Source organism: Homo sapiens, chromosome 10 (genome assembly GCF_000001405.40).
Source record: "Homo sapiens chromosome 10, GRCh38.p14 Primary Assembly".
NCBI classification, from domain to species: domain Eukaryota; kingdom Metazoa; phylum Chordata; class Mammalia; order Primates; family Hominidae; genus Homo; species Homo sapiens.
The window spans coordinates 64,350,559-64,369,033 of record NC_000010.11 but is presented as its reverse complement, the minus strand read 5'-3'; the positions used below and the strand labels follow the sequence as shown (position 1 = coordinate 64,369,033).

Sequence of the window (18,475 nt, the reverse complement as noted above, 5' to 3'; positions counted from 1 at the left end):
CGGCCTCCCAAAGTGCTGGGGGTTACAGACGTGAGCCACCACGTCAGGCATCTCTTATCATTTAAATCTGTGTTTCATGCATATAAGTTTTGTTTCAAAAAATAGACTTTGTATCCCTTCACTTAAAGCACAGTTGAGAAAAGACCATTGAATCAAAGTTTACCAGATCACATAATAAATAAATAAATACATAAATAAAAGGTTAAGACAGCATTCTATTATAGGAATTTCTTGCCTTAGTTTCCTCATCCTGGGAATCAGAAATTATAATAATAATTATAATAATAGGATACAGTTATAATAATCAGGTACTGAACACTCAGTCTACATTGTATAAGATTCACAACACATTCCTTACTTTCAGAGAACTATAAAGGTTAAACAGTAAATTCTGACACAAGTCCTCCATTTTACCTTGCAAAGGAAGCTGAGGGACACGTTCTCATCTGATCAGAATGCTCTACTGTGTGTCCATATTGCTTGTCTATTCAGAACTGCTTGTCAGTTCCGGACTGAACTTCTGTTTTATGCTCCAAGGTGCAGATTACTGAAAACCAACAGTTACTCATCTTTTCTTATTATCCCTTGAAATGACTACATGAGCTCTTGGAAATGAGGTCAGTAGAATCAACGAAGTTCTATGTCAGTGGTTATATGAATGATTCTCTCTCCACTCTATACATGGAAGAGGGGCAGCTGGACAGAAGTACAGAGTCTTTGAGAGAAAGATGTTACTGTTTGGAAGAAATGCTGCCATATCTTCACAAGATAACCCTTACAGTGCTGGCAAATGCAGATTGAATATCCCTTATCCAAAATGCTTGGGACTAGAAGTGTCTCAGATTTCATATTTTTGGGGGAGATTTTCCTGTATACTTTGTACACATAGACTAAAGGTAATTTTATATTTGTAAATGAAAGAATGTTTGTGTACATTGAACCATCAGAAGGCAAAGATTTCACCATCTCAGCCACCATGTGGACAATTTGTGGTTGTTTGGCATTGCTATCATTCCTGACTCTGAATTCATATGCTACCAATAAGCAATTATTTTCTTACACTTATCCACACGCAAGTCCTTAACAGTAAAAAAAAAAAAAAAAAAAAAAAGACATACCATTAATGCAGTGAAAAAATAATGTGTTTGGGGTAACTAAGCAACCAGAATACCTGTATCTGCTGGTAAGCAATAGTAACAGCAAGCAATGGCAGGATTTCAGTTTCCACCTATGATGCTGTGTTTTAGTTAAAAGGTTACTGTATTTTATTCATGACTGCCGTTAGTGGTGTGTCTAGCCTGCACACATGGAATTTTATTACCCTTTGTGGGTATACTTGCATGGGGGAATCTGGGAATATCCAGAAAAGATATATTACAGCTAAAGAGGTCTGGGAGGATAATTTTTCTCCTGGACACTTAACTATGTTGTACGCCTTTGTTTTGACTGTGTGACCTGTTACATGAGGTCATGTGTGGAACTTTCCACTTGTGGCATAATGTCAGTGGCTCCAAATGTTTCAGATTTTTTAGAATTTTGGATTTTGGATTTTTGGATTAGGAATGTTCAGTCTGTATCAGGAGTCATGGTAGCCAAGCTCACCACTGACACTTGCAGTATAGGACAGGAGAACAAATAGAGGCCCATGTACCACATGGGCCTATATATTTAAAAGTCATAAATCAAGTTTTAAAAACTATTGAATAAAATCTTTCTGATCCTTCTACTTGAACAAATATATATTCATAATGACAGAATTAGAATATAGACACGTATATACATACATAGATTCACATATACATGCATAAATCTATGCTTGTTATATGAATAAAAATGATAGAATATTATTAATTAATTAATGGTAATATGTGTGACTTAGTGTTCTATTGATGGGCCAACCGTATGATTACATATTTATTCCATAAAATTTATATTTTCTTTCAGATCAACAAAACCACTAATGAAGCTGTCATAACTGAGATTCTCACATAATTTGTGTTATTGACAATAATAATCTAAAGAATTAAAAAATATAAATGTGTCCTAAGTCTACAAAATTTGAATATATATTTATAATACTATAAATTTAAATTAAAATTATTTTTGTGATTTGTATTTTTATATTTCATTTTGTAAAATATTCAAAACTATCCTTCACATTAAAAGGCAAAGTATAAATTATAATCAATGAATATTAAAATTTTAAATAAAAATCATTGAAAAAATCCAAGTTTCACATTTAATTTTTTGAAAATGTAATTAAATCTTATTACATTTTATTATACAAACAAAAGTAAACACAAACCTGGCATTGAAATTTCATCTAGTTGCTAACTAAAGAATCAGTACCACACTTCTTGATGTCATTCATGTCTTGACCTACCTATAAACAAATTTAAATCATATGAATCACTTAAGTTTGCAAAATGTTTTTCAGGCAACATGGACAACTATTGGAAACATGACTTGGAAAACAAAGAATAGCAATATAATGGGCACTCAGTACTACTGGGAATAATACTTAGTTTTTGTAAAAATGTACTATAGTCTTACTTTCAGAAAGAGTTTCACAAGTTTATTCATTAAATTTTCTTTTAACCAGCATGTATACTACTCAAATCCTTCCTGTGTTACCAAGTATTGTCTCTCTCTGACTTCCTGCATAGGCACAAAGAACAGAATAGAGAAAGAACCCTTTAACACTAGCCTAGGGGAAGTATTGTTAGTAAACCCTGGACTTACTGCTTCTGATTCCTCATACCCAGTGTTGTAGGAGTTCAGTGACATTTACATTTTTGAAGTCCAGGCATGTCCTTAATGTAGCATTTTTTAGTCCATAGGTCTATGAAAACACTAATTCCCAGTGGAGTTAGAGGATACTCTTTGAAACACAAAAGTACTGCAGTTAAATATTAGAAAAAACTATTTCATAATAGCTTGCTTCTTGGTAATTCATAGTGCACATTATCATATTATGAGCTCAGAGAAGCCCCAAAGAAAAGAAGCCTGTTTAACTTTGTTTCTCTGAAACATTTGACCACTAAAACTATTTTTCAACAGGAGAGTGCTGACTTTGGTGTTTGCTATGGTTTGAATGTATCCTCCCAAAAGTTCACATGTTGGAAACTTAATCTCCTTAATCCCCAGTGTTGGAAGGTGAAACCTAATTAGAGTTGATTGAGTCATGTTGAGTGGATTAATGCAGTTTTTGTAGGAGCAGCTTAGCTATTGCCAGAGGAACTTGTTATAAAAGTAACTCCCATCCTTGGTCCTCACTCTTTCACAAGTGCTCACTTGCCCTTCTGCTCTTCCGCCGCTGGACAATACAGCATAAAAGTGCTCACAAAATGCTGGTGCTGTGCTTTCGAACTTCCCACTCTCCAGAATTCTAAGAAATAAATTGCCTTTATTTGTAAATTATCCAGTCTATGGTATTTAGTTACAGCAATAGAAATTGGTCTAAGACAGTGTTCTTTAAAATCAATGTAGAAAACACTGCTTTAACATTTAAATGTCTAGTACATTTTTTCCCCATATGTCTTTCAACCAGCTTTCCTACCAACGAATTCATTAACACAGGAAGGAATTTACATTTCCTTATTGCCTAAGTCAGCAATTGCCATGACAAAGCAAACTGACAATTTTAGATCTCTAATAAGTACAATAGCAACCATTAAATAAGGAAATCAATTTTAAGTTTAGAAAATACCAGGTGAGGCCGGGCACGGTGGCTCACGCCTGTAATCCCAGCACTTTGGGAGGCCGAGGCAGGCGGATCATGAGGTCAGGAGATCGAGACCATCCTGGCTAACACAGTGAAACCCCGTCTCTACTAAAAAATACAAAAAAAAAAAAAAAAACTTAGCCGGGCGTGGTAGCTGGCGCCTGTAGTCCCAGCTACTCAGGAGGCTGAGGCAGGAGAATGGAGTGAACCCGGGAGGCGGAGCTTGCGGTGAGTCGAGATCGCGCCACTGCACTCCAGCCTGGGCGACAGAGCGAGACTCCATCTCAAAAAAAAAAAAAAAGAAAAGAAAAGAAAAAAAAGAAAATACCAGGTGAAACTTCTCTTTACTGCTGGTTTTGAAAGCATGACAGTCTGGCTGAGAAACTGTCACTTGAAAGAAAGCAGGAGGGGTAAGAGCATTGAAGTTTTCACCTGCTTGCCCACAATGTCACCTGATTGGACACTATTCAGTCAAAACAGAGAGACCTTTGTCGGTTTTTCTTCCTCTGTGACTGCTATTACTTGAAATCAATTGTTTTGCCAGGCAAGTTCCATTGAGACTTAGATCACAGGGATCAAAACGTCAATCTGTCTCTAAGGAATCAATCTATTTCCACCCATCTGAACACCCATTGTCTAAAAAATAGCAAATAATCAAATTAAAGGGAAACTGCAGTGATTTCTAATTTGGGATGCTATCAGCAAGTCCAAGAGATGGACTGTCAGAAATAAATTTACTACCTAACAGTTAAAGAAATTGGGAGCTTTGACTTGGAAACCTAAAAGGAACAAGGCAGAGGACAAAGCCTTATGCATTAGTAGCATTTTCTGAGGAAGAGTCATGAGGTGAAGAACAAGAGTGTTACAGAGATTGTAACTATTATACCATTTAATACCTAATTTCCAGGCCGGGCATGGTGGCTCATGCCCGTAATCCTGGCACATTGGGAGGCCGAGGCAGGCAGATCACCTGAGGTTAGGAGTTCGAGACCAGCCTGGCCAACATGGCAAAACTCCGTCTCTACTAAAAATACAAACAAATTAGCAGGGCATGGTGGTATGTGCCTGTAATCCCAGCTACTTGGGAGGCTGAGACACAAGAATCGCTTGAACATGGGAGGCAGAGGTTGCAGTAAGCTGAGATTATGCCACAGCACTCCAGCCTGAGGGACGGAGTAAGACTCTGTCTCAAAAAAAAAAAAAAGAAAAAGAAACATTCTGTTTAATGTAAGGAAGGTTACAAGCAAAAAACAAAATGAAAACAAAGAAAGGAGTAGAAGCATAAGAGTAGTGAACAGAAACTCTACCAATCATTGTGCATGTGTATACATTTGTCAACCTTCTCTCAAACTTGACAGGAGCTCATAGCAGATTTTGATTGGCTTACAATAAGTCAACCTAAGACTGAAAGAGAAAGTTCATTTATTCCCTGGTCAAGTATTTGCCTTGTTCCTTCTGTGTACTCAACTTGAACATTAGAAGATTAATGCCTACCTCGGTGTGAGAAGTGGTGAGTAAAAGATGTCTGGAAAGTGTGATATGAAGCAAAGGGAAACTTACTTTCACTCTTACTTTTGACTTTGGCCAATCTTAAATACATAACTGGTGGATTTAAATATTAAAGGTTTATTTTGAAAGTATCACAAATAAGTGAAATTTAAATATAATAGGAGAGGGTAAGATACTACAGCTTGATAAGAAAACCAGGAGACTCAAAAACCTATTCCCCACCCGCTAAACCTGGTGCCCACTTGAAGTGAGTGTTTGAGAGGCCTCAATTTTGGTGGCTGGGAACTCAGAGTTAGAACACGAGTCCACTGAAAAGAAGAACAAAGCCAGGATTTTTTTTTTAAAAAAAAGACCAGAAGTTAGGCAAGTCAGACCCACTGAGGAATCCAAGAGTCAAAATCTGTGATTAGAACTAGCTGGAATAAGGGCCACAAGGACTTGCAGTACTCCAGAAGTTGTACACTGTTTTGCAATGGCCTCACCCACTTGTATGTTGGGGTAAAACACTCCCAACATAACTGGGAAGATTTTTCTGCTCGGATACAAGTTTCAGGTGCTTTTCTGAGCCACTCTCCAACTCCCTACAGTGTGTCTTCTGCCTTCCAGCTATAGGGACCTAAGAAACTCTTCGCTGTGTTTTTTACACAAGAACCTTTATATAGACAATGAACTCTAGAGAACGGACAAAGGAATGGGCTGCACTTTTCCCTAAGAAAAGTTCCCAAGGTTTGAGTGAAAATATAGCCTAGAGTAGATAATTAAAGATGTAAATGGAAGGAGTGCAGGAGTGGAGAGGGGAGGGTGAAGGTTGGGAAGTGGGGGAGAAATGACTTCCTTTTTGATTTATGACTTTAAGAGACAAATTTTTAATTTCATTTATTCTTTTTCTAGGTGGTAGGAAGAGTTATTCTTTAGTGTGTTTAATCTAATTTTGAGTTTACTGCATTATAATCTTAAAACTTTTTACTATTCCTCAATTTTGAGATTCATTAAGATGTATTTCATATATTTTAATAACATTTTTATGAAAGTTATTTGTGTACATGAAAAAAGATGGAAGAGATATTTTTGTTACTAGGTTAAAACTTTCTTTACACAAGTATAAAATCATGTACCACGTAACATTGCAGTCAACTTTTCAGTCAATGACAGACCACATATACAATGGTGATCTCATAATATTATAATACTGCATTTTTATTTCACCTTTTATATTTTTAGATATGTTTAGATACATAAATACTTACCACTGTGTTAGAATTGCCTAAAATATTCAATATAGTAACATGATGTATAGGTTTGTAGACTAGCTGTTTGTAGGTGTATAGCAGACTGTACTATGTAGGTTTGTGTAACATTTGTAATAACTGCCAAATCTTTGTGAATTGCACTCTTTATTATTATGACATTTCCTTCTTCATCTCATTTTATGTTTCTGTACTGAAACCAATCTTGTCTGATATGAAAATTTGTATCTGTATTTAAGTTATTTGTATTTGTCTTGTTTTGGTCACTCTTTTTAACTTTTCTGGGTCAAAAGAAACAATTTTTGAGTCAGTTTATTAATGAGTATCTCTTATATACAGAATCTATTTGGGGTTTTTTTTTTGGTACAATCTGAAATTTTCTTTTAATTGGTGAGAATAGCTATTTAAATTCTTTGATAAGACAGACATATTGGCCTTAATGCTGTCATATTTTCTAGTTTAATGGCTTTATGCTTAGTATTTGTTTTCTTTACTTTGGTTTGAATTTCTTCTGCTAACTGTAAAGCTTGCATTTTTTCATTATAGTATTTAGATTTATATGTTTACATAATGCTCTAAATTATCTATTTTATAACTATTAACTCTGTTGTGAGCAATAATGAAATTAATATGTGCCTTCAGCTCCTTATCCTCTCTCATTGTCTTCCATCAAACACTTTGGTTTGTGGGTACAATTTTTTTTTTTGTTTGAGACAGAGAGTCTCACTCCATTACCCAGGCTGGAGTACAGTGATGTGATCTAATCTCACTGCAACCTCTGCCTCCTGAATTCAAGTGATTCTTATGTCTCAGCTTCCCAAGTAGCTAGGATTGCAGGTGCACCACCATGCCCAGCCAATGTTTTGTATTTTCAGTAGAGATGGTGTTTCACAATATTGGCCAGGCTGGTCTTGAACTCCTAACCTCAAGTGATCCTCCTGCCTTGGCCTCCCAAAATGCTGGGATTACAGGCGTGAGCCACTGCACCCAGCCCATTGTACTACTTTGATGTTTATTTTGATTTTTTTTACTACATGTCCTCATATCTCTATTATTTGATGGAGTTTTAAATTATTTCTTCTGATCCCTTGGTATAAAAGATATGAACATCCATAACCTTACTTACCCTCTCTTCTTTTATTCTTTCCCCTCCAAACATTCTCTGAGTTTGTAATGATACTATTTTTATTAACTGTACCTTAAATAGTCTTATAGCACCATTATTTAATTTATCATCTTTTTAATCTGGGGCATTGGGAATATGGAAAATCAGTATTTTTTAACTACTTGCTATTGTCTCTTTCTTTTCCTCTCCAAACTTGTATTACTTATATCATTTCACATGCCAGGACTTATAATCCGTGATAGAAATTTATGTTTTAAATTTATTGGAACCATTATTTTCTTTTCTAATTTTTTGTTTTTACTTGTCTGTAATTTTTACTTTAAAGTATTGGCTGAATATGGTTTGTTCTCTATACCTTCTTCAAGAATTGCTCAAAGACCCACCATATCCTGAGTTTTACACATTAAATAATGTAAGTGACTTTACCCTTGAACAACATTTTGCTGGAGGGTAAAATTAATAGATTAGACTTCCTTTTGTGAGGGCTTCATAGACTTTGCTTCACTTTTAACCACTCTTATCAACGCTTCTTTGGATTTAGGGTGCCCTTTAAATCTGTATAATTGAGTCTTTATTTATTTCTAGAAAGTTTTCCTGTATCAGCGGAACCAGCCCCCAATATTTCAACGTGGGTCCTTTCTATTTTCCTTAAGTGTCAGCTGGTCTGAGAAATAAAAAGAAAGAGTACAAAGAGAGAAATTTTACAGCTGGGCCTCCGGGGCTGTCATCACATATTGGTAGGACCATGATAATGACCCCGAGCCGCAAAACCAGCAAGTTTTTATTAGGGATTTTAAAAGGGGAGGGGGTGTACGAACAGGGAGAAAGTCACAAAGATCACATGCTTCAGAGGGCAGTAAAGATCACAAGGCAAGACAAAATTAGAATTACTGATGAGGGTCTATGTCCCGCTGTGCATGCATTGTCTTGATAAACATCTTAACAGGAAACGGGGTTTGCGAGCAGAGAACCGGTCTGACTAGAATTTACCAGGCTGGAATTTCCCAATCCTAGTAAGCCTGAGGGTCCTGCAGGAGACCAAGGTATATTTCAGTCCTTATCTCAACTGCATAAAACAGACACTCCCAGAGTGGCTGTCTACAGACCTACCCCCAGGAATGCATTCCTTCCCCAGGGTTGTTCCTTGCTGGGAAAAGAATTCAGCGATATTTCTCCTACTTGCACATCTGTCTATAGGCTTTCTGCGAGAAGAAAAATATGGCTCTATTCTGCCCGACCCTGCAGGCAGTCAGACCTTATGGTTATCTTCCCTTGTTCCCCGAAAATCGCTGTTATTCTGTTCTTTTTCAGCGTGCACTGATTTCATATTGTTCAAACACACGTTTTACAATCCATTTGTACAATAGTGGTCCTGAGGTGACGTACATTTTCAGCTTAAGAAGATAACATGATTAAGAGATGAAAGTAAAGACAGACATAAGAAATTATAAGAGTACTGATTGGGGAAGTGATAAATGTCCATGAAATCTTCACAGTTTATGTTCAGAGACTGCAGTAAAGACAGGTGTAAGAAATTATTAAAGTATTAATTTTAGGAACTGATAAATGTCCATGAAATCTTCACGATTTATGTTTTCCTGCCTCAGCTCCAGCCAGTCCCTCTGTTCGGGGTCCCTGACTTCCCATAACATTCTTGCCTTATATCTATAAATGTTTTTTTCTTCCATTATATCATTTTTTACTTTGAACCCCTAACTTTTGGTACTTGGATATCCTTTGCCTAATTTTATCTTTATCTATTTTTTTGTACTTTTAACTTATTTTTTGGTTCTCTCTCCTTCATTTCTTACTCTACTCTAAGTAGTTTCCATTCACTCTTGTACACTTTCCAATTTTGCCTTCATTTCTGATTTTTTACTACTTTCATAAGCAAGACCAAATCATATTTCATCTCTTTTTCTCATCTTGCTGTCTTAACCCAAAGTTCTTGTATATATTTTTTAGCTCTTGCTAAAAAATGGTGATTGCTACATAATTTTTTTAAATTCATAACAAAATATTTAGTCATAATTTTTATGTACTCTATGGAATGATTTTTCCTGTGTTATTATTCTGCCATTTGCTTTTGCTGTCATTTCTTTCTTCTTCTGTATCTTTTATGTATTTTGTATTGGCAGCTTTTTTCATATTCATCATCACTGAAAGGAATTTTTCTTAGATCATATTTGTTCTACGTTCATGTTGTAGAAATGCCAAGATTATGTTTCAAGATAGCAGAAATTTTCTTTATGGCCCAGTGCCTATGAGCCCTTTTAAGCTCTTTATTTTCCATATACGATTAAGAATGGCAGCTTCAGGGCTTCTCACAGTGTAATGTCTTTCCAACACCTGCTTTATTGACAGATAACTTCCACTACCTTATCTTTGTAATTGAGCCCCATGGCCTCTATGTTTGAAACACAAACTCGGTCTACTAATCCATGCAGCCAAACTCACAGTTGCCAGCTGGGTTACTACTTTAGAGTGTGACTGCAACTAACTTTAGACGAGTCCATGCTATTGATTTCTTAGAAATCTGACTCCCCTCTCAACTTCCTCTTCAATTTCTATTTTCCTTGCTTTTGATAACTCATCTATTTATTTTGTAATTTTGGATTTGAGGGATTTTTTTCTAGTTTAACTGAAGCTGGACTGTATATTTCTGGTTTTTGCTGGTTTGTTTCCCACTTCATTTGATTTACAAAAGGAAAAAGAGGAAATGCTGTCTTTATTTTCCACCTGAATAGCCCAGAAGAGGAATGAAGAATTAATGAAACTATAGACAAAGGGGACTTTACTGTGGCCACCTAAATAAAATTAATAATAACAAGGTGAATTTATTATTATAGCTAATATTCATTAAACATTTATGATATGCCAAGAACTATCCTAAGCACTTCACATCTATCAGATTATTTCATCCTAACACCAAATCTATGAAACAGTTGTCTTTTTTTTTTTTTTCATACAGGGGTCTCACTCTGTCACCCAGGCTGGAATGCAGTGGTACAATCTTGGCTCACTGCAACTTCCACCTTTCAGGCTCAAGAGATCCTCCCACCCCAGCCTCGGGGATAGCTGGGACCACAGACACATGCCACCAAGCCCTGCTGATTTTTTGTATTTTAGGTAGAGATGAGGTTTCACCATGTTGCCCAGGCTGGTCTCAAACTCCTGCACTCAAGCAATCCGCCCACCTAGGCCTCCCAAAGTGCTGGGATTACAGGTGTGAGTCACCATGCCTGGCCAGTTGCCATTGTGAGCACCATTTTACAGATAAGAAAAGAGAGGCTTCAAGAGATTAGATAATTTACAAAAAAGTCATACAGCTAAGAAGTGACAAATTCAGAATACATACTCAATAATCAGACTTCAGAGTCTTCACTTTTGACCATCATACCATTTTGTTTCCCAGTACCTGATGAGGTAAAATTGCTTTTTAGAGATTCTTTGACTTTTGCTGGGATATAGGGAGCATGTAATCATGCCCTAATCAGAAACTACCTGAATGCACTATGTAGGTGGGGTGGAAAGGAATTCACTGGCTCTAATAGGAAATTTCTGCATGTGTTCCATGGAAAGAGAGATACAGGCTTGCATAACTAAAATTCTACATACTGTAAGATTAGTGGAAAGAGAAGGAGCTCATAGTTTTGTTCCTTTAAGGACAACTAGATTCCAATATGATTAAATAAAGGCAGATGACCAATAAATTGAAATCATTGATTTACTGATTGATTTTTTTTAAAACCAGAGAAGGTGCTCATTATGGGCTAATAGCCACATACATTAAGCTTTGTAAAGTCACTGATAATTTCTATTCTTACCATGTTACCAATACAACTAAGCAAATGCAACATTCATAATATTAGGATATCAAATATTAGTCAAATGATCAACTTTCTTGACTCTCTTGAACAACTTTATTCTAGCCAAAATTTCTCCTACAGAAAATACATATATTTCAATAAGTCAAATCTGCATTCCCATATTGGACCACCAACTCATACAAAAGTTTTTTCTCTAAAACCTGTCTACTAACACCATGAGCATTGTGCTTTGCACCAAAAAGACGACCTCTTATTTTATGTTAATATATATTCTTCAAAAAGACAAGTGAAGAAAAATAGGTCTGTTTTTATGTTGTGCATGAGAAATTAGGTGGTTAATTTTCAAGGGCTGCCTCAATAAATCCCAATTGAATTAGCCAGTATTAGCATGTGAAAGCGATCAAGAGACACTGCAAAAACACAATGTAAAATGAATACGAATGATTTGGTTCCAGATCTGATCAAATAAAGTGGAGGATTGAATTAACGAGTGAACAAAATTAAGTGGAAATGGCAGTATTTCACAGCTAGTCAGCTGTGTCTATGAAACATACTACTGAAAGTTAGACGACTATTCTGAACCTTTTATTTTTCCTCTCCAGAGGTATCTCCAAAATTGTATGTACTAATTGGATTTAATATCCTTCATTATTTGGTGTGTAAAGTTGTATTTATTTCTCTATAAGATATTCAAAGCAATAAAATGATAACAATTATCTACTGAACATTTACTGTATTCTATGTCAACCACTGTTCTATAGTCTCCATAAACATCAATTAATTTATTTCTATTTATTTAAATCGGGTATGGGAGGGAGGAAAGAGCAAATGAGATAGACCAAATTTTTTATAAGGTTCCTAAACTTTTAACATGTCTGTAATTGAGACAGACAGGTGGGAGGGGGTCCCCGGAAAAACTCCAACTGGCCTGTGCGCTGGAGTGGAACCTCAGGAAGTTCACTCTCTTTGCAGTGGGAAGGAACATTGCCCCTCCTCTTCCTGTGTGGAACCTGGGATTCAAATGGCCAGTAGGGATGCACTCTAGCAGGGACTCTGGCCTAGCAAGAGTACCGGTTTTCCCCTTCTCTTCCTTTTTCATCCAATAAAACTTTGTCTTACCCACCATTCAAATTGTCTGTGAGTCTGAATTTTCATGGCTGTGGGACAAAGAATCCTGTCTTTAGCTGAACTAAGGAAAAGTTCCTGCAACATAATGTTACTGTTGGCATAAGTATGAGGTAGCATAACAGGAGTAGCTTTGAAATCAGACATTCTTGAATTTCAGTTGTGAACCATTCACTTGACAAGCTGGGCTACTAAATCTATCTTGTTCTGCTCATCTTTATAAAGGAATTTTGAAGGTTTTTCTCAAAAACTCATTTTAAGAAACAGAAATAATATAACTAAGATTTTGGCCTGCTGTTGGGATATAACAGGGGCTTATTATTATTATTTTCAGAGTAACAGTGGTTGTTTCCTGGGATACCAGTGTTTCTACTTAATTCTCCCTACACATCCTAATGCCACTATTTCAGAATAAAAATTGAAATAGTATCTTTGATAAGAAGACTGCTAGTAGAAATAAGGGGAATCTTTAAGCAGAATTTTTAATGATTGAAATCTGCTCTGAGTAATAAGAATAATTTTTCTTCTGGGGACACCCCAAAATAATGCCCATTATTTTATTAAACTAAAAATAGTTGCCAAGTGGAGTGATACTGTGGTAAATGCTGTAAATGCTGTGTGTGTAAGAAACAAATTCAGGGGGCCATATAATACTCTGTGGATGGAAAACACTTGCCTCTTAGAGAGCATCACTTACCTCACATAAAAGCATCCTCTGAGGTGGTTAAAATTTCTTGTTGAGTCTTCCTTAGGAATAAATAGAGTTAAACACAGAAAGATTGCTTAAAATGCCAAGCCTTTCCAATGTCTTATAAGCAGCGGAAATTGAAGTGTTTGCTTTTTTCCTCTACTCAATGTACAAGTTATTCATCTCCACTGGAACGTGAGTGTATATGGTGCTACCTTAGGCTGTTCTGCTGCAGTAGAGTCAGTGAAATAACCTTCTGCAATTATTACAGTATTTATAATCCATTCTAGTGTGCAAATCAACTAAGAAAAAAGGCAAGTCAGAGTCCTAACATCTTACAATAGTAGAAATGTAAGCATAGAAGATTTGAATAGATTAATTTTTCCTTGCAGTTCATCTCAAATATTTCAACTGTGTTAACCCCAGGCTGAAAGTCTTGAGAGGATAGCTATGCGATTGCAGTGTTGTCTTGTAAAAGTTCATCTGGTTCCTGTATTACAATGGATGGCCTAAAGTTGAAGATCAGCATTTCTATAGACATTAGCCTTCAACTGACTGATGACGTTCTGTTGATAGATTTTTGGTTTCCACTCAGCCCAGACCTCCCTCCAGGAAATTGGGAAAGGAAACTGCAGCAATGAGGTTCTCTTGGTCGTTCTTGCTTACACATTCTCCACACTTATCTTGATAATATCCAATGCTTCACTTTTATTATCTAGCCTTTCAGAAAAACCTAGCTGGCTTCTGGCTCTTGCTTTATTCTTGATAGTCATTTCCTAGAGGTAGCTGGAGACTGCTACTCTATACACAATTGGCTTCGTGCAGTCAGACCGACTGAGCTTTGTAGAGGTGAAGTTTAAGGCTGAGTCCACCCAAGGGCCTCCCAGAGTGGAGTCTATCAGGGAGAGCATAGTAATTCAAGTCACATTTCCTTCTAACAATGACAGATTTCTCTGCAAGGTTAAATATGAATACATGCAGAAATGAATCATTTCATGTAGGGATTAATATAATAGAGTCATGTGCTCATAAATACCCCCATTCCTTTTGAATGACCACTTTTATGCAACATTATTGCTCACAGTAATGAACAATATAACCTTTCAACTTTGCAAATTCAAATAGCCAATGAGTTGATTCAGGAAGAATAAAAGTAGAAAAATAAAACCAACAGATAACCTTATAGTCAGTTACTCTGAATCATGCACATCTGACATATGATTCTGTGATGAAATTTTTTTCACTGTTTTATTTTTTGAGTTAATATCCTATAATGCATTCTAATAGATGGCTACCAAAGAAGTTTGTAAGATTCTTTCATTTTAGGCATTGCTCCTGAACACTTGAGATAATTATTTGGGTGTTATTATCCTGAATCTTTTTGGCATTACAACTTCCTAGTTTTTAATAATGTCAACTCACTTTCACCTGGTGTGGAAACCAGACACACTCTTAAGCAGCTCAGTCCAAAAGAGGTCTTCCTAAGATTATCACCCTCACGCTCCTGCTGTTGCTATTCTGTACTCCTTAATGATTCAAGGAAAAATTCTTCCTGGTCATGGCTGATTGTCAGAAAAATGGAAAGGATAATGGGTTACTGAAAACGATGAGCCATTTGGCACCTGAAAATCTAGTCTTCACATAGCCTCTACATTCCTAGGCTACTAAACCTCCCTTGGTCTCAGTTTGCTCATCAGTAAAATGAGAAAGACTAGAGTTAAGTCATCTTTAAGGTCCCTTACAGTCCAGATATTCTTTCATTTTATAATCCTATGATTCTTCCATTTCACTACTTCTTCAGTCAGTTCTAATGAATTTTCTCACCAGTGCAGAGCTATACATAATCTATTACTTCAGCTAAAAGTAAGATGTCAGGAGACATCTCAGGATATCAGAACAGCCTCTCCTTCAAGATCCAAATTCATTTTTTCTGGTCTTTAATGCTGTCCCTTCCACTAACAACCCAGTCAAACTCCTGAGTGTTACAAATTTTCAACATCTATTTATGTCATCAACCTTGATGACCTAGCTTTTGGATTTTCTAACTTCTTTTAACCAGCATAAACCATGCCTTCCTTCACCCCCTATCTGGAATTCTTAACTGTTAAATAGTCAGCATCCATCAGATGACTGTTGGCCTTACCCATCTACCAGCCCCACTATGCTGCAATTGACTTTGGCTCCACACTAAAATGCTAGTGATGACAAATTGAGAAGTTTATGTTTCTCAGTTATTTTTCAGATACTTAATGGATGCTGTCTATAGGCAATACAATGTGAAATCTCCTAAAGAAGTCAAAGAATGGTGAAGACAAAAGTCACTGTACCCAAAGAAATGTTGAGTGTAAAGGAGTTTGAATAATACAATAAGGAGAACAAAGAATACATACTGACTACAGAGCAAGAGCTGTCATCGTAAAAATCTTCATAAACATTGAAATTAATGTTAGCATTTCATTCTAAACAAGAAGCATTCATTTATTTTATTTTATTTTTGTCTATTTTCCACTATTTACTTGAATGGGTGTTACATGCACATGACATCATGATACAAAATGCAAAATGTACAAAAGGTAAACTGAAAAAAAAATTTCCCCATATCTGCCTATATTTCCCATCTGTGAATGTCCCCATGGGACATTCCCTTAGCTCTCTTTCAAAAATGCAACCACAATTTCTTAGTAACATGGCTTTAAAATTTAGTTCCAATTATATGATGAGTGATAAATCATCCTACTGATTCCAAAGGCCAGTGTTGCATGATAAATTGAAAATGCTAGCTAACATTTTAATTCTTAAAGCTACACGATTTTCTGAGTCTAAAAAGAGTTCCTGCTTTTCCAACTCCATGAATGCATGTACATTTTGAATTATCATCTACTTGAGCAAACAATCTATTGGCTATCAGAATTCTCTTCCTTTCCATGCTGTCTCCACTAGCCATGTGCTGACCTATACTGTCATTATCTCAGATTACATTTACTCTGTCACCACAAATTTAATTTCAGGCTAACATTTAACTTTAGTAAAAGCCAAATCGATGCAACTTGTTGGATAAGAAATATTTATCTGTATTTATTGTGTGGCAGGTATAAATCTCAACAAAATTAAGATTTATTTATGCCTGTTAATCTAATACATTCTACTGTAGCTGCTCTGAAAACAGTGAATTAAAATTGATACCCACTCTGGCCCAGAATCATCTGAGAAATGAAGACCCTACATTGTCAGTAATATTGTTTTTGTCATAAGATTTATTGATGGCTAAGTGAGAGAGAACAGGGAGAGTGTTTGCAAAAATTACTACTAAACCAGGTGTACAAAATGAAAATCTAAGTTTTTGTGGACAATTCTGCTCAATGTTGATATATAATTGTTATTCATTACCATGTTTTTTAAAAAACATAAAATGGTTTTTCTCATATATGTCTTAGCAATGCCTAAAGCATATCTTTAGCTAGTTTGACAGATCTTGCAGTAAGTTAGAAAAAAGCAGGACACTAACACTTACAACACCACAGTCCAGAGGTGTCAGAAAAATAAAAGAATCAATATTAAATCTTTTTCTCAACAAATTTGATTTTTAAATTAATTTAACCTGTCTGTTATCAAAAGTATTTTTTTACAGTTACTTACCTATTTTTATGTAAAATGAGTTTTGCATATTACCGTTGTGTTTTATTTGAGAATTTTTAAAGGGGAATTATTATCATTAGATTTTGAAAATTATTCTCCAAAATGAAGACATTTTTACTAAGCCACATGTCTTGAGGGTATAGAAAGAAAAGTTTGTGATTTACTTGCTCTACCATGATGTTTACAGAAGGACATGAGTGTCTATTTGAAAGCCTATTTTGAACATATTTATCCTTCAGACATATATTTTTGCTCATGTAACAAGAGATCTGCATGTTGATGGTCCAGGGGTTGAGCTCTGGTTTCACAATATGGTTAGTGTCCCAGGCGATCTGCTTTCTGCTTTCCCATCATTAGCAGAGTCTTCTGTCTTCATGCTGCCACCTCATTGTAATGATAGCTGTGCCATTTCCAGCAAGAAGAAAGGGGGAGAAGGAAGGGACAGTACTGTAATTGTACTAGGAGAAAAAAACCTTTCTCAGAAAATTCAAGCAGGTATTTGATCTTACCTTAAAGGTCAAATGGCCAGCCCTATTTGTAAGAAATCTCTAGGAAGACAATGCATTTTACAAGAAACATTGCTGCCCCAAACAAAATACGGGCTTTGTCATTCAGACAAAAGGACAATGGCTATTGGGTTTGCACTTACAGTATAGGCCACTCTCCACCACCGCCACAGGGCTGGGATATGAGAGAAGCACATGTCAGCATTTATGGAGCTGAATGGAAGTCCTGAAGGAAGATTCCCAAGGCCATGCTTGCACTGAGGACGAATGATCAGAGGATAATTTCAGGCCATTGATGACCCAGTGACAAGATAAGTTTATGAAGAAACACATTCTATAGCTTCACCTGTTTTCATGAGTTATAAAATGAGGAATCTGTGAAGTGGGCAAACCAGGTTGGGGTGTGGAATACCCAGTAGCATGAACAAGGAGTAACTCCAAAAAGCAATGAGCAGAAGTGACAGCTCAGTTAAGGAAAAGAATATGTGTTAAAGTACGAACATCTTCATGGCTCCTGCCTTCCCTCTAATAGCAGCGGGCTCTCCTCAGAATCAGAACTAGTGCAGCCACATTTCCTGAAAGATAGTGCAGAAGGGACGCTTTGCTTAGCATCTCTCCAAATCCTCACCGCTTACTTTGCCCAGCTCTCTCTGGTTATACTTTAGCTTTAAGGACACTGCTTGCTGCAGCCTGCTCTCCATTCTGTGCTCGAATCTGCTGTCTTCCTACAGTGGCTCCAGTTATCCCCTGCTGCTGTTTCTCAGCACTTTTTATGCTATGCTGCTGTGGTGGTCATACAAACAATGTCAGTCTGTTTGCACAGTCCCTTTGTAACAATGAAAGCATGGTATAAACAACTGAGTTGGTTAAAAATTGACTGGGTTGAGAATCCTAATCCCAGGACCCTCACAGTCATACATGCTTGAGCTGATAAGGACTTCTCACCTCATTACATCTCCTCCTACTGTCTTACCAGAGATCTACTTAAGTAAGTAATGCACTGTGATTTAAGACATAATTTCCTAAATTATCTCTTATCTCAGATAAGGTACTGCCTGCAAATTTTGCCTAAAATTTCATCTAG

The 18,475-nt window shown here is 36.3% G+C and overlaps 1 long non-coding RNA gene across 4 annotated transcripts in view, besides 1 other annotated feature; it reads right to left on the bottom strand.

The window, feature by feature from the left end:
- The window catches only part of LOC124902439 (uncharacterized), an 820,351-nt gene that overhangs the window by 323,906 nt on the left and 477,970 nt on the right, over nucleotides 1–18,475 (bottom strand). The window lies entirely within an intron of this gene.
- Nucleotides 8,471–8,765: a silencer, noted in NCBI's record as "tiled region #9231; HepG2 Repressive non-DNase unmatched - State 24:Quies". NCBI's record gives its function as "represses a minimal TATA promoter and a strong SV40 promoter by Sharpr-MPRA in HepG2 cells {active_cell/tissue: HepG2}" and the evidence as "EXISTENCE:reporter gene assay evidence [ECO:0000049][PMID:27701403]".